The sequence below is a fragment of the Homo sapiens genome, chromosome 2 (assembly GCF_000001405.40).
Source record: "Homo sapiens chromosome 2, GRCh38.p14 Primary Assembly".
Taxonomy (NCBI): Eukaryota; Metazoa; Chordata; class Mammalia; order Primates; family Hominidae; genus Homo; species Homo sapiens.
The window spans coordinates 162,081,594-162,096,925 of NC_000002.12; the positions used below are offsets into that span (position 1 = coordinate 162,081,594).

Below are 15,332 nucleotides of genomic sequence, written 5' to 3' on the forward strand. Positions count from 1 at the left end.
AAGCCACTCAGTTTATGGTAACTTGTTACTGTAGCAGATGGAAACTTAACATAAAGCAGGACAACAGTGATCTTTTTAACTCCATCAAAATTGGCATAAACCCAGGGCCCATATTTAATAACTCCAGGGAGGTCTGAGAATGTCCCTTTTCATGGGGCATTTTCAAACTTGGCTATAAGTCACATGTCAGGTGTGTACTGTGACAGCATTTCAGAGTCCCTCCTGAAAAAGATCTGACCTCCATTTCAAACAAGGTTTTCTGGGTCTATTAACTGCTTTGAGTCTGAGAACTTGATGAGAGTCCATTTATTACTACTATGAAAACTTAAGTCAAATTTCTGCCCATTACACCTAGAATTCTTTTGATCATTTAAATCAAGCTATAATTTAGAATGCTACCTATTGACTTCATTCTTAAGTATCTCGTGATAAATGAGCCACCACCATAGAAGTCAAAAGCCCTGATTATCATATTGTTCCTGCCACTGTTTATGGCAATATCCCCTTTTGAGAACCTGAGTCCTGGAGTTGGGGTTACCTAGGGTGAACTCTAGCCTTGGAGGGATACAGCCACTGCCAGATTGCAGCACAATAAAGCAGATAAAAAGCTTAAGGAGTAAATACCTCAGTCTCTTTCTCTTCTCTCCCTTCAGTATCTTGCTCGTTCCTCCCATCTGTTGAGCCCAATAAAGACAGAGGGCTAAGGAGCCTGGCTAATAGCAAATGTATATTCAGGGATCAACCTGCAAGGCTGTGCAATGCAGGGAAGAGAAGGGTGGAGAATGGATAGAGGGAGGGGGAACTTGAAAAAGAGCCACATAACCAGGCAACTCCATATAGTACTTATTATTTGCTAAACTATCTCCTTATGGAGACTGGAAACATTCCCTTTATTCCTTTATCTTCTCATCCATCATTCTCTCCAGTGCCTAGTAAAGTGCCTTAAATATATTAGCAGTCAGTAACTGTTGGTTAAATAAATTAAAAAATGAAATGATAACTGAAGAAAAGTTAAGATCAAATCTTTCTCTGTGTTCTTGGGGGCTGCAACTAGAAGACAGAAAGAAATAGGATCTCATATGTGGAGAGATGGCAGGGTGGAGGGTGGGGAGGTGAGGAGTGGTGGGGAACAGGGATGGAAAGGAACAGATTTACTTCTTGCCCTCAGTTCTGAAGGTTATGTAAAGGACAATACAAGGGTACTTATTTGTTCCTTTGATCAGTGGACATTTGCCCTCCACCTAATCAGAGAACGCTGCTCTACCTGTGTGGGAATGACTTCCTGCTGCCTTAGTGCCAAACCCCACATTTCATATCCTTTGGACTGAAGATCAAGTCTCACATCTTCCAGGTTATCTTCACCGTCTGTTTCTGTTTTATTTTCTCTTTTCCCTACCAACCATACTTGAGAAGATTACCCTGCTTGTGTTCCAGGTTGAACCAACCTTTAACAAAATTTATTTCTACAAAGAGATACGTATTAATAGATGACAACTAGCTGGCTAGATCATCCTATGGATTTTGATAGATGAAAGGAAGTTTCAGGCCCAAGGGATAACACACATAAGGGCTTGAGTAAGAAAGCTGGAAGATCTTTAGGGAATATGTATTACTTGCATTTTGCCAGGATATAGAGTATTCCAGAAAGTATTGGGAAATGAAAGTTGGTCATGAACATATTCTTGTCTTAAGTTCAATATTCAGTATATACCAAGGAGCCACTAAAATTTTACCTGGGAAAGAAACCCAATCAGACTTATACTTCAGATTTAAAAAAAAAAAGGCAATAGTGTCTGTTGGATGGAATGAGAAAGGGAAGAACTTAAACTGGGGGGAGAGTCAGTAAACTCTTGGTCTTAGAAAATTAATTGGGTAAGTGCCTCTCTGCAAAGTTTGTTGTACAAGCATGTAAACCATGCTTATTTATTCTTGTTAAAATATAACTCTAAAAACTTTTTCTCAGCTATGGTCATGGTGCTTTCCTTGCCCCAATTATCAGTAATACCAAATGAGGGATTGTTCTAGCACTCAGCACTCCGTAAAGGAGTGCTTTTTCTACCTTTCAGACTAGAACCAACCCAAGGGGTAAGGGCACTTTTGTGCTCCTCTTTGGATGGTATCCTTTGGATATTCTGTGGGTTTTTTAATTTGAAGAATTTGCTTATATTAGCCCCTGACTTAAGAAAAAAAATATGACTTAATGAAGAGAACGTGTTTGAAACCCATGGAGCCTGATTCTCACAAAGTGTCTGTAGCTACAATGATGTCTCCTCCTTAGTGTTCTCCAAGCTGTGAACATGGGCTAGATGTGGTGGCAGGGTAGGGGAGCCAGAGATCACCTCCAACCCCCCTGTAGCTCTTATGTAGCTCTTCTAGATTCAGCCATAGAGCTGAATCTAGAAACCAAATTGATATCAGGCAGATTAACAAGAGAAAAGTAAACAGATGTTATTGGTTTTTCATGTACATGGGGATCTTCATAAGAGACTGAAGTCTGAAGTGGCCAAAGCAAGATACTTTCATACTTTTTAGACAAAGAATGACAAATCTGAGAAGAAATCACAGGACAAAGGGAATCTGACTAAGAGCAGTACATTTCTAGGGGAGTCACTAGGAGATACATGAGGGTAGGGTGTAAACCTACTGGAAGATAAGGACTACTTCATTAAGTATGTTTATTCAGGTTCATTGCAGCCTCCTATCACCAGTCTCTGTTGACAAGGGCTATTTTCTTGCTCCAGTAAGAAAATATTCCTCCCACAGTAAGAAATATTTCTATTTTCTTGCTCCAACAAGAAATATTCTTCCCAGAGGAATCTATGGCTTGCCACAAGCAGGAAAAGACAGGCCAACTAACCCTTACTGAGGCTACAATTCTCCCAATGCTTTCAACTTGAAATAATCAATATACCAATTTGGCATATTTTGGGATGCCATGTCTTTCATTCCTTCATTTCCCCTGTCTGAAACTTCACTAGACGTTTCCAGCATTAAAAGCTGAGGTGGTGGCTGTGGAAAGAAATGACAAGTTAGTAACTGTGTCATAAAGGATTTGCAAACCAGGAAACAACCAATCTAAACATTGTTCCCCACACTCCATTAAACCAGCCTCCTAATCCTGGGAAAAGTTCTATCCAATAAAATGGTTTAGCCTTATTTATTTGGTGAAGAATATTTGTCTTGTCTTTTAAATGGTGCAGATTAGGCTCTATTTGTCCCCAAGGATTTACATAGAAGCACTGTTCTTCTCCAGTGTTTGTCAATGCATCCAGGACGTGGGGATTCTGAAATATAGCTGTGACTAAATGTCAGCTTCTGACTGGAGTGCTTTCAGTGCTTTCATAGAAATGTTGAGCTCTCATTCTATAACTATGGAAAGATTTAGAATTGCTTTTTTAATCTCATAAACTCCAATGCTTGGGAAAAAAGCTCTCAATATTGAAAAGAACTTGGAGTTGTGATATAAAAGTGAGTTTTGAATAGTACATCTAGTATGTTTGTATGGTACCACTTTATAAAACAAAAGAGCCCAAGTTTGTAATTTGGCTAGCATTTACAGTAGGGTACCTGGAGACAGAGGTGTTAAATATCTGAGTCCACATTGCCTGGGCTATCTAGGTGGGAATTGTTTATATACCTTGTTACCACACAAGAAAAAAGGCCAGTATTTTTCACAAATAAGGTCAGAGTGGAATATGTGACACCACAGGTTGGGGTTTATTGCACTTTGTCTTCTAGCATATTGACATCTGCTCATCTCCATCCTCCATGAATTCTGTCAGTCCATAGGAATGCAAAAGGTTGTGAAATATCTGATATAGGAGGCCGTTAGTTCAGTTTGGGCAGATATAAGGCTTAAATTTATTAAGCCAAGTCAGTCTAGAATTTTGATCAATCTATTTGTAATCTTTGGTGTCTGCTAGCCTAATGAGTTTTCCCAAGTTACACAAGGCTGACTCTGGAAGTTTATATAACATCTGGTGATTTGGCAAGTGTTTGTACCATAAGAGTCAGTGTCAGAACTGCTTATGACCTTCGTGAAAGGCTTAAGGGTGCCATGGGTGGAATCAAACCACAGGCTTTGACTGCAATGCCTCATTGATATGTTACTTAAGAAAAGTCCAGCATTATCTCTGCTTATACTGGAGAGGGAAAAATTCCTTTCTAATGACTTTACTAGAGCAAGGACAGTCTTCGAGCTCTTACAGAGATTCCTCTGTGTCCAACTGACTCACTGAATGGAAAAATAATGTGTTGTTGTTGTCTAGGTGGTGAATGCCATACCTTGACATACATTCATTCTCCAAACTTGATCCACTGGACACTTGCATTGGCAGGGACAAAAATAAGTTCAGGGTTTTTCTTTGCATAATCTAGATGTTGACATAATCAATAGTCAGATTGATTAATTATCAGAGCCAGGGTTTGGAAGACTGGTACAAAGGGATGCTGAGTCTATGCCTGACCCGTTGGAAAAATAGTGAGGGCTAATCAGAGCGGACACAGTTTGAAGAAAGGTCATAGTGGAGGAGCAGAGGGAGAATAGTTAGAGGGAGACAATCTTCAGTCAGCTTTTAAAGTAGGCTACCAACAAATGGGGATGGGAAGCATTTGTCACCAAAAAAGAGATTTTTGTATGTTTGCTTGTTTGTTTGTTTTCAGGAAGAGTATTAGGGAGACCTAAAAGGGGGAGAAAATAGGTGGAAGTAAAATTTCTTCGTCCCTGGTCTTGGGAAAAGCTCTCTACTTTGAAAAAATGCCATCTGCTTCTGGGGCCAGGGAATTAGCCCTGGTAATCCTTATTTTAAGGTCACCTGTAGGGGTGATCTTTCAATTGACTTGGAAATGCTGATCAGGATCTAGTTTGGTGTTGCTTGTGTGAACCCAGGAGGGTTTTTCTTTTAATGGCAGCATAGATATTCAGCTGTACTTCATAAGGGCCTTCCCAGTGAAATGACAGTGTGTGCTTTTCTCTAAAAATGTTGATGGACTCACAGTCTCCTGGTTGAAAAGGATAGCAAGGCTTGTCAGTTGGCAGAGGCCACATCCTTTTTACCTGATGATGATATGCTCCAAGTATATCAGTGAGTTCCTGTACATAGCTAGACACAGCATCACATTGTTTACTTAAATCCACATAGAGTCTATTCAACCTAGGAATTGGAAGGTTTAGAGATGCCAGTAGGCATAGGGTAGCCAAACATTATCTCAAAAGGGGTTAATCCATATCTTCTATTTGGAGTATTTTGCATTTTTATAAGGGCCAGAGGTAATGCTTCTGGCAATTTAAGTCCAATTTCTCTAAAAACATTTCCTAAAGTCCATTTAATGTCTAGATTTGCCTTCAGGATTGGGGATAGTATGGGGTATGAAATTTTAGTGAATACCTCAGAGTTTTTGCAAGCAAGTGGTTTATCTCTGCTGTAAAATGAGTTCCTTAGTCTGATTCAGTCCATAAAACGATGCCAAAGCAAGGAATAATCTGTTACTCATTTCTTCACCATTGTTGTGGTGTTAGCATGTCTGGTCCAATAGCATTCAGTCCACCCACTACGCATACAGACAATAACCAGAGAGAAAAGCCTAAAGCTGGAAGTGAATCTATAAAGTCTATCTGGAGTTCTGCAAGGGAAGTGTGCACCTTGGAGAACTTGCTCAGTAATGTTGGTTTCCTCCAGAGATTTGGTGAGAGTTACAAGTAATGCACTAGAAAATAGTGCTCCCAGGGCAACTGTAGATCCCAATTATCTTTTAGAACCTTAATCATCCTGTATCTGCACATATCTATATGTCCCATCTGATGATCATTAACATCAGCCAAAGATAAAGGCAAGTTTATAAATTGGGTGGAAAAAAGGATTGGGGGCCTGTTTTTGGCTGCATAGTTAACAGCCTTGTCTGCCCTATCATCTCCTTAAGATACACTATCAGTGTCCTTAGTGTGGGAGGGACAATGAACATTGGCCATTTTAGTAGGAAGATGAATAGCCTGTCATAAGGCAGCAAGTATATGTCCATTGGCAGTAGGCGCACCAGCATAGGTTAGCAGTCCACAGGGTGGCCAGGTTGTGCCAACAGCATGGCAGACTCTGAGAGCATATCTGGAGTCAGCGTGGATATTGGCCGTTTTTCCTTTTGCTGGTGTGCACATCCTTCACTTGTTCAGTAGTATGTGTTTATAAGATAGGGATTGGGGTCAGGGATGGAGTGGTGGGGCTGCACTGTAGTTGCCATGATTTAAGGAAAGAAGTAGCAAGGGCCAGTAGCAAGGACAAGAACAGGGCTGGAGGCAGGCCTCAAACTATACTAAAAAGAGACAGCTAATTTGCCAAGCCAGGGAACATTTACTTTTTCTTGAGGGGTGGATCACATAACCAGAAAACCATATGTAAGAGGACCTCTTAATTTTTATGTGTGCTGATTTGTGAATAACAATAATCAAGGAAAAAAGTTCATGCTTATTATTGGATTAGAGTGAAAAATATCTGTCATCCATTTCTTTTTTAAAAAATAGTGGTGAAATACACATAACACTTACCGTCTTAACCATTTTTCAGTGTAAAGTTTTTTTTAACCAGAGTAATCTAAAGCTTATAATGTAATTTTACTGAATTAAACATAGAACTTAAAATTATTCATCTAGGACTCCCCTTTTTCTTGGCAAGATGGCAGAGTATGACTTAACTACTCACATCATATCTCTTTTAAACTGGCATTTTGTTTCTGCTGCTTGAATTGCTCTTCATAAAGGAGATATAAGAGGGAAAACAATAAATACATGGGAAGTTGGGTCTTCCTAGTGACACCGCATAGTAGCTTTTGCTACAGTGTATGCAAATAATACCTTTATTCTGGTGAGATTCCTCATGCTTTGAGAGAAGAAATGACAATAGTTGTAGTCCCTCAAATAGAAAAAGAACCAATTGGAAGGATGTTTGGAGAACCAGAAATTACAAGGCAAATGCAGTCCAATGGGAATGGTCAGATACTGTTTGGCTTCTCGGCTGAAAAATATAATTTTGGGTGGAAGTATTTACATAGGTTCTGCAGGCTGTTTCTCAGGGTTTCTTTCTTTCTTTTTTTTTTTTTTTTAATTTATTCTCTACACTAACCTCCCTGACCCAAGCATTTTTCAAACTTTTTTCTCCTACTCATCCTCCATGAAATTTTAATACCACAGATATACTATATTGTATTTATGTTTATGCACTATCTGGAATATATATATATATATATATTCTGTGCTTCACTTGTAGGGAGAGTGATGCTTTTGCCCTCAATAACCAATTTTCATTCCTTGGGGGCAATATTGCCCTTATTCAGAATGCATGCTCTGGAGACACACGCACTTCCAGCATGAACGTGTCAGTGACTCAGGATCAGCTGAGTATCACTGCTCTTTTAGAGTGCTGCTTCCAGCACATGATAGAAATACCGAGTTCATTCTGGGAAAGCTCATCTCTGAAATCTTTTTTTTTTTTTTTTTTTTTGAGACGGAGTCTCACTCTGTTGCCTAGGCTGGAGTGCAGTGGTGTGATCTTGGCTGACTGCAATCTCCACCTCTCAGGTTCAAGTGATTCTTTGCCTCAGCTTCCCGAGTAGCTGGGATTACAGGCATCTGCCACCACACCCAGCTAGTTTTTGTATATTTAGTACAGATAGGGTTTCACCATGTTGACCAGGCTGGTCTCGAATTCTTGACCTTAAGTGATCTGCCTGCCCTGGCCTCCCAAAGTGCTGGGATTACAGGCATGAGCCACCATACCCAGTCTCATCTCTGAAATCTTAATGCTGAGAGACTGAATATGCAAACAGTCAGTGACCAGACTGTACCTGACAATTGGACTCTGCCCCACAACCTCTGCTGCAATCAGCCCAGAATAGTCAGGATTGTAAACTTTGCTTCTAACTCAGGACCAGAAAAAGATTTCTATCCTCCCCACACCAATCTCGTCAGATGTCCTGCTTTTAATTAGCCTACCTCCTGTTTCTTATGCCAACAGGCTTTGATCAGAGCACACCTGAAGCCTTTCCTGTTTTCTCTATAAATCTTTCCCCCTGCCCTTCCTGCCTTCGAATCTCTGCTAAGTGATGGTGACTGACTCCCTTGCTACAGTAAACCTTGAAAAAATAATCCTGTTTGTTCTCATTTGGGTGGTTTTCATTTATTTCCACAATGCGAAATGGGGATGCAGCCATGGACGATCTTACACATTTAAGACACCATTGATAATAATTGTTCCACTCCGGTGTTTTGGCAACAAACATGTCTCATTCATCGGTCTCTGTTGTTTTCAACCACCCCTACAGCTGTGTTACCATTATTTATCTCACCTTTTTCAGCCACACTATTTTAATAATTCAGATGATGTGTCTCTGCTATTTGACTACAGTAGCCATAATAGTCAAAGATGCTCGGAAATGCAGGAAGATGGTAAAAGACCTAGCCAATGTCTTTCAAAAGAAATCCTACACATAAAAACCCTGTTACTGAGCTGGTTGAAAGCTTTTACTTTGATGGGGACCAGAAAAAACACCCATGCTCCAATGTCTACTTTTTGAGGATTTCATTAGAAATATTTGTATATTTATATTTAAGACTCTCTGATATATCCACCGGAGTATTAGCATTAGTATGTTGGCAGATACACTAAAAGTGATCTCAGGAGAAGCTGAAGGATGACTCATACTTATTGAGAAGTTACTAAACCAGGAAATGTCCTGGGAATATCAATTTGAACAAATAAGGAACATCTCCAGGATTACAGTTTACAAACCAGTTTACAGTTGTTAATCCACCTGAGCTTTCTAGCCAAACAACACAAGACTAAGTCTGAGATAATTAGGCTTTACTGCCCCCAACCCCAACCCCATGTAAGCATTTTCCAGAGGAAGCTGAGGGAGGAGATTAGAATTCCTGGAGGCTAATCCACTGGGCTATGGATCTGATGTTCAGAGTGTAGTGGTCCTCCTGGCTCCATGCTGTAAGTGCCCTGTTTCCCTCCTAGGCCTTGTCACCTCTTTTTCAATGTCTCTTCTATGCCAAGAATCCCCTTCTGTAGTATTTCCTTCCAAACAGTCCCCCTCCAAAGGCCCAACCTCTTCCTCCCTTTCTCTGCTATCAAATTTCATCTATTCTAACCTATTTCATTTTTTTAAGATTCCATATATAAGTGACAGCATGCAATATATAGAGATAGAGACTAAAACAGTGGTGACCAGGTTTGGGGATGGGGAGAAAATAGGGAGATGCAGGTCAAAGGACATAAAGTAGCAAATGTAGGGTGAACAAGTTGAAAGATTTAATATACAACCTGAGGCCGCTAGTTAATACTGGTGTATTGCATTCAGGATTTTTGCTGAAGGATTAAATATAGCTGCTTTTGCCATGATGGGGACTGGTAACTATGTAAGATGAAAGGATATGTTAATTTGTTCTGCTAGAGTAACCATTTCACTATATGTATGTATCTCATAATATATTGTATACCTTTTATATACATAAAATTTATTAAGAAAGAAAACCTTCGTCTATTCTGATATACAGACTTGATGGAGGTTGATAGGATTGACATATGCATTTTATCAGGACTTTTGAGGCTGAGAAGCCCTTCCCGATTCTCAAAAGTTTTCCCAAACGTGTGCCCTGCTCCCATCTCCTTCACTGCCTTGAGCATATTTTATTAAAACAATCTGTTAAGCTTCTGTCTCTCTGACCTCGCTTTGAGTGTGGCAGCCATGCTCTATTGTTTGTATTTCTAGAAACTACACCAGCTCTGGGATAGAGTAAACTCAGCCATGTGCCAAAGCTGGCAACATGGAGACAGCTGCTTCTTGCAGCCATTCACCAGGCCACCTGCAAGGCCGTAGGGAGAAGACAAAGGAGCGAAGACTTTACGGTTAGACAAGCCTGGGTCTGCAATCCAATTATATGCCCTTGGCTGTTTTTTAAAAACCTTTATTATGTGCCCTTGGCTGTTTTTTAAAAACCTTCTTCCCAGAGTTGCAGAGATTTAATGAGATAAGAACTGAGTCATCTCAGTTACTCCCAAGCCTTCAAATGTATCTCTATGCTGATGGTTTCTGCTTGTATTTCTCTAGCTGGGATCTCTCTTCTGGAGTCTGAGCCTCCGGAAGGTCCCCACCTGGATGACTCATAGGCCTATTAAATCTAAATTAGCCAGAGAGGGTTAATAATTACCAACACTACTCCCCTACCCACTAGTCACCAAATTAGGTCCTTCTGCATCATGCTCTCCCTCCATGAGAGTATCGCCACCACATGGCCCAAGCCGGAAACCCAGGAGTCCTCCTTGATACCTGCTCACTCCTTATCCCACACACAGACCTCTCTAATCTCCCGTTTCATTGTCCACATCTCTCTATGGTCTCTCTTCCACCTTTGCTCAGGCCTTCCTTTCTTCCAGACCAGGTCATCGCCCAGCCCATCTAACTGGCCTCTCCTTTTGTCATTTCTTTCCATGGCAGCGTTTATTACTTTCCTGCTTAAAACTAGTGGCTTCCCCTGCTGCAGGATCAAATCCAAATCCCTTATCCTGTTCTGGTCTCTGCTTAGCCTTCCTTCTCATGGCTCCTCCCCAACATCCCGCCACCTACACACTAAGCTACATGCATTCATTTCTAAGAATTGAAATGCAATCTCTGTTTTGCTCTCTCTTTTGCTTTTGAAACTTCAAACATAACGTTTCCTCCACCTGGAGTTCATTCCCTTTGTTTTTCATTTGGCTAAGGTCCTAGTCAATGATCGCAACTCCAGTGCCATCTCATCCAAGAAGCTTTGCCCACCCACTGCCCTAGCAAGGTGCATGGCTTCTGTGCTCTCAAACAGACTTGTGCCTCACTGCTTTTTAACAAAGCACTCATCACTCTGTAATGCAATTATCTAATGTAATAATTGCTAAGATTCATGGACCCCGTGCTAGGTGCTGGACATTCAGGTAAGCTCTTTACTTGTAATAGTTCATTTAGTCCTCATAACAGCCCCATGCAGTAGGTACCTTTATCATCCCTGCTTTGTAGATGAGGAAATTGAGGTGCAGAGGGGTACATACTCTTCTCAGTATTACACAGCAAGTATTTGAACCCATGAGGCCTGACTCCAGAGCCCTATAATTATCTACTATTATCCAGTAATATTCAAGGATTTTGTCTCTGTTGTTCACTGATATACTCCTAGGGCCTACACTAATATCTGGCACAATAATAATTGCTTATTAAGTGTTTACTGACTCACTGAGTGAATAAATGCTGATTCATTGTGTCATTTCCTTCCTGATGGGCAGGGATTAGGCTTTATTCCATTTATTTCTAGCAGCTAGCTTGGACCCTGGACATATGAAAATTGTTAAGTTTGTTTCTCTGCATAGGGTCTTTGCTACTCTGTGAGATCCATGATTCTGTTTTGCCTTTGTGGTCTTCTGAGACCCTGTATTCACCCTGCCACACCACAGCACACTTCGCTGCGTGTCAATTTTTAGTGCATAGAAAAAAATCTGGTCAGCTGCTGCTTGACAGCTGGAAAAATAGAGCTGTACCTGAGCCAGTTTTGTACCTCAGAAAAGCAAGGGGGAGAGTCTCCTGCCTCACGCGGTGTGTGGGTGGAGGGCTGAATCATCAAGTTCTTTGAGTTCCTTGGGAAAAGATAACTCAAAGGAATATTACACAACATGGAGAAATAGGAGGAAAATAAGCAGAGACACAAAAATGACTCAAGTGTTGAAAAATATGATCCACGCAACTAAAAATACATTGCAACTGAGTTTGAAGAGGAAAAGACTGGGTGTCAACATTCCAGTGGCCCAAATGGCTGTGCATGAATGGGCTTTGGTTCGAAGGATGGTGAGCAGATGGTCACCGGCCTCACAGAGAAGAAGGTTGTGCAACAGGGCCTGGAGGCCCTCTGAAGATCTGAGACAAGGGGAAGAGGACAACTTTACCAGGGACAAGACAGCCTGAGCTTCAGCAAAACACTATAAAAGAGTATCCTTGGTTCCATATGACCCAGGCAGAGGGAGGAGTGATGGTAAATCCTGTCGGATTGGTGTATTATGCATTTTTCTTTTCTAAATGAGCACTTAAAATTCCCTGTAGATTAAAAAATTCTGTTGTAGATTTTTTCTAGAAACTGAAAACTTTGGGTGGGAAGGGTGGTTCAGGCTTTCATGGACATGCAAACAATTTTCATGTTCCATTCTCTGGCTTCTCTGGTAACTGACATTTGAGAGACATGTTGGTGTAGTAGATGGAACATGGACTTGAGGCCCCTACTGTTCTGTAACCTAGGGAAAGTTGCTGCTTCAGACTCTGCCTCAGTGTCTTTTTTGAGCAACACTTTGCAAATAACATTGTAAATACTAAAGAGGTATAGAGAATATCTAAAACACTAGTTCAAGGGCACATGATATGCTTAATGAGTGAGAATGAAGTTGTCATTAATATAATTCTTTACCAGCTTTATTTTCTTAATTTCTGAAGTATTGCCCTATCATAAAAAGATTAAAGTAGATCCCAAAATCAGAAGAGTTCTTGATTAGAATGAAGGACCCGAATTGGTTTTCCAGATGGACTCACTTGTTAAAAGGGGATTGTGACAAGTATTTATTCAACAGTTTGTTCTACAGCCGGTGTTTGGGCTATTGGAAAGGAGGTGCTATATAAGTGTATTGTAATAATGAATGCCCTTAGGGAAGAGGGGAATTGTGTAAGGAGATGTATTCTGTAATTCTTTCACGTATATTCATCTTTTCTGTCCAAGTAGAATATACACCCTTTATGGGCAAGGACTACCTCGTCTAATTTGTATTTATAAACTTTCTTTTTTCTTTCTCAGGGTTTTCAAGGACTGAGAATGCACATATGGATAGAACAAATCTAGAAATTCAAGCTACTTCTATTGCTAAACAAGTATAGAGTTTCATATAAATATAATTCATAAAAGGTATAAACGGCAAGAGTTTCTACCCAAAGATTTTGTGAAACACCTGGCATTCTAGCTACAGCAGCAAATTATGGCATCCCTTAGCCCCTCAGAGACCTCTGTCCTCAGCAGATGTGACCGCCTTCTTGGATCTCAGCAGTGCAAGGGTTCAGTGTGCCAGCATCTCTACATCTGAGGTCTTGCTGTCTTCTGCAGGCCTTCCAGCTGCTTTGAGAGAGAAGTGACCAAAGTATTCTCACTTTTGAAGGGAGTGAAATAAAACCTGGACAAACCAGGTTCTCAAATTAAAATTCATGGATCTTCCTATTTTCCCAAGAAGAGCCTGTTTTTTTTCGTATACTCCATTGAAGCCATTGCTGGTGGACAATTTTCATAGCATTTTCTTCTCTTTTGTTTTGAAAGGCATTGATTAGTAAGTAGGACATTTCTGTTCAGCAATTGCCCTTTGAAGTTTTATTCAAACACAGAATTTACTGTAAAACAGACCAGTCTTTATTCTTTCTTTTAGTGAAAATTATAAACTCTTTTTATATATATATATATATATATATATTTTTATTATACTTTAAGTTCTAGGGTACATGTGCATAACGTGCAGGTTTGTTACATATGTATACACGTGCCATGTTGGTGTGCTGCACCCATTAACTCATCATTTACATTAGGTATATCTCCTAACACTATCCCTCCCCCCTCCCCCCACCCCACAACAGGACCCGGTGTGTGATATTCCCCTTCCTGTGTCCAAGTGTTCTCATTGTTCAATTCCCACCTATGAGTGAGAACGTGCAGTGTTTGGTTTTTTGTCCTTGCAATAGTTTGCTGAGAATGATGGTTTCCAGCTTCATCCGTGTCCCTACAAAGGACATGAACTCATCATTTTTTATGGCTGCATAGTATTCCATGGTGTATATGTGCCACATTTTCTTAATCCAGTCTATCATTGTTGGACATTTGGATTGGTTCCAAGTCTTTGCTATTGTGAATGGTGCCGCAATAAGCATACGTGTGTGCATGTGTCTTTATAGCAGCATGATGCAAATCGTAAACTCTTAAGCATATACACAATCATATTTCTGGACCTTGAATCTACCCAGGCACCCCTGTGTGAAGTTAATTCTTAGGGATTGGTGAACTACTTTTAACGAGAGTTAAAAAATGACATTGGGGATAACATATGGGGTATATACTATATGGATGTTACTTGGTTTAGGCATTTTACTTAATGATTGGGTGGCAGTGGTTCCTGATAATGGAAAGGGATTTAAAAAATACATGGAAAGATTATATTTGAGCCATATGAAACTGGTGATCCTTGACCATTTTTGACCTACAAAAATAAATATTTAATGTAATACAACCTAATATGTTAAGGTTTGTTCATAAAACAATACAGTCTATATTATGTCAAATATAAAATTGACATTGGAATAGTGGCACAGTACACTTAAGAAGATAAACTCGAAACTGTTTTAAATACAGCTATAAAACGCTGTAATAAACCAGTCGTTGATGACATAATTACATTATTTTGTACCCAGTAATTAAATAGAAGCCTTATAATTATGGTAACTGATATAAATGAATGTATTTATATTAGTTTACCATAAGCCTTGGAGTCAATAACATTTTATGAAACAACTCTTAACTGTGTTCTACGAGTCAGAGGCAAACTGTGTAGAGGAGGTTTAGGAACGCTTCCTTTATCTCACCGGAGACTATACATTTGTCATACTCAGTTCAGGCTGCTCTAACAAAGTACCATGTACCGGGTGGCTTATAAACTACAGAAATTTATTTCTCACAGTTCTGGAAGCTGGTAATCTGAAGTCAGGGTGCCCACATGCTTCAGCTCTGATGAGGGTCCTCTTTAAAATTGCAGACTAGGACTTCTTGTATCATCATGTGGCAGAAATGGAGCAGGTTAGCTCTCCGGCTTCTTCTTAGAAGGGCACTAATCCCATTCATGAGGCTCCCCCTTCATGACCTATTTTCCTCCTAAATATCCCATCTCCAAATACCAGCACATTGAGATGAGAGTCTCAACATAAATTTTGGGGAACACAGACATTTAGTCCACTGCAATATTTCAATGAGAAATACTGTAAGAAAATTAAAACTACCCTGCACGTGAATAAAAAGTGCTAACATGTAAAATTAATGAAATATGGCTGATAATAATTTGGGTTGACTGTTATAATGAGAACTCCAAGAAATACATGAAATATTTTTGTTTTGAAAAGGTTCTGGCTAATGTCCAAGAGTAACCCCTCCCCTGTTTATATTTTGGTCCCAGGTACAGTAATAATTTACAACTCTGAATTATCCAAAACAGTGAATGCTCTTCTTCAGTCTGTGTGCATCTCATAGACAG

At 40.0% G+C, this 15,332-nt stretch overlaps 1 pseudogene, besides 1 other annotated feature; it reads left to right on the forward strand.

Annotated features, from left to right (window-relative positions):
* On the forward strand, positions 6,666–8,683 carry EIF3EP2 (EIF3E pseudogene 2; annotated as a pseudogene).
* Positions 11,131–12,330: an enhancer, noted in NCBI's record as "P300/CBP strongly-dependent group 1 enhancer chr2:162949234-162950433 (GRCh37/hg19 assembly coordinates)". NCBI's record gives its function as "activates an origin of replication core promoter dependent on BRD2, BRD4, P300/CBP, MED14 and CDK7 cofactors, with strong dependence on P300/CBP, by STARR-seq in HCT116 cells {active_cell/tissue: HCT116}" and the evidence as "EXISTENCE:reporter gene assay evidence [ECO:0000049][PMID:35650434]".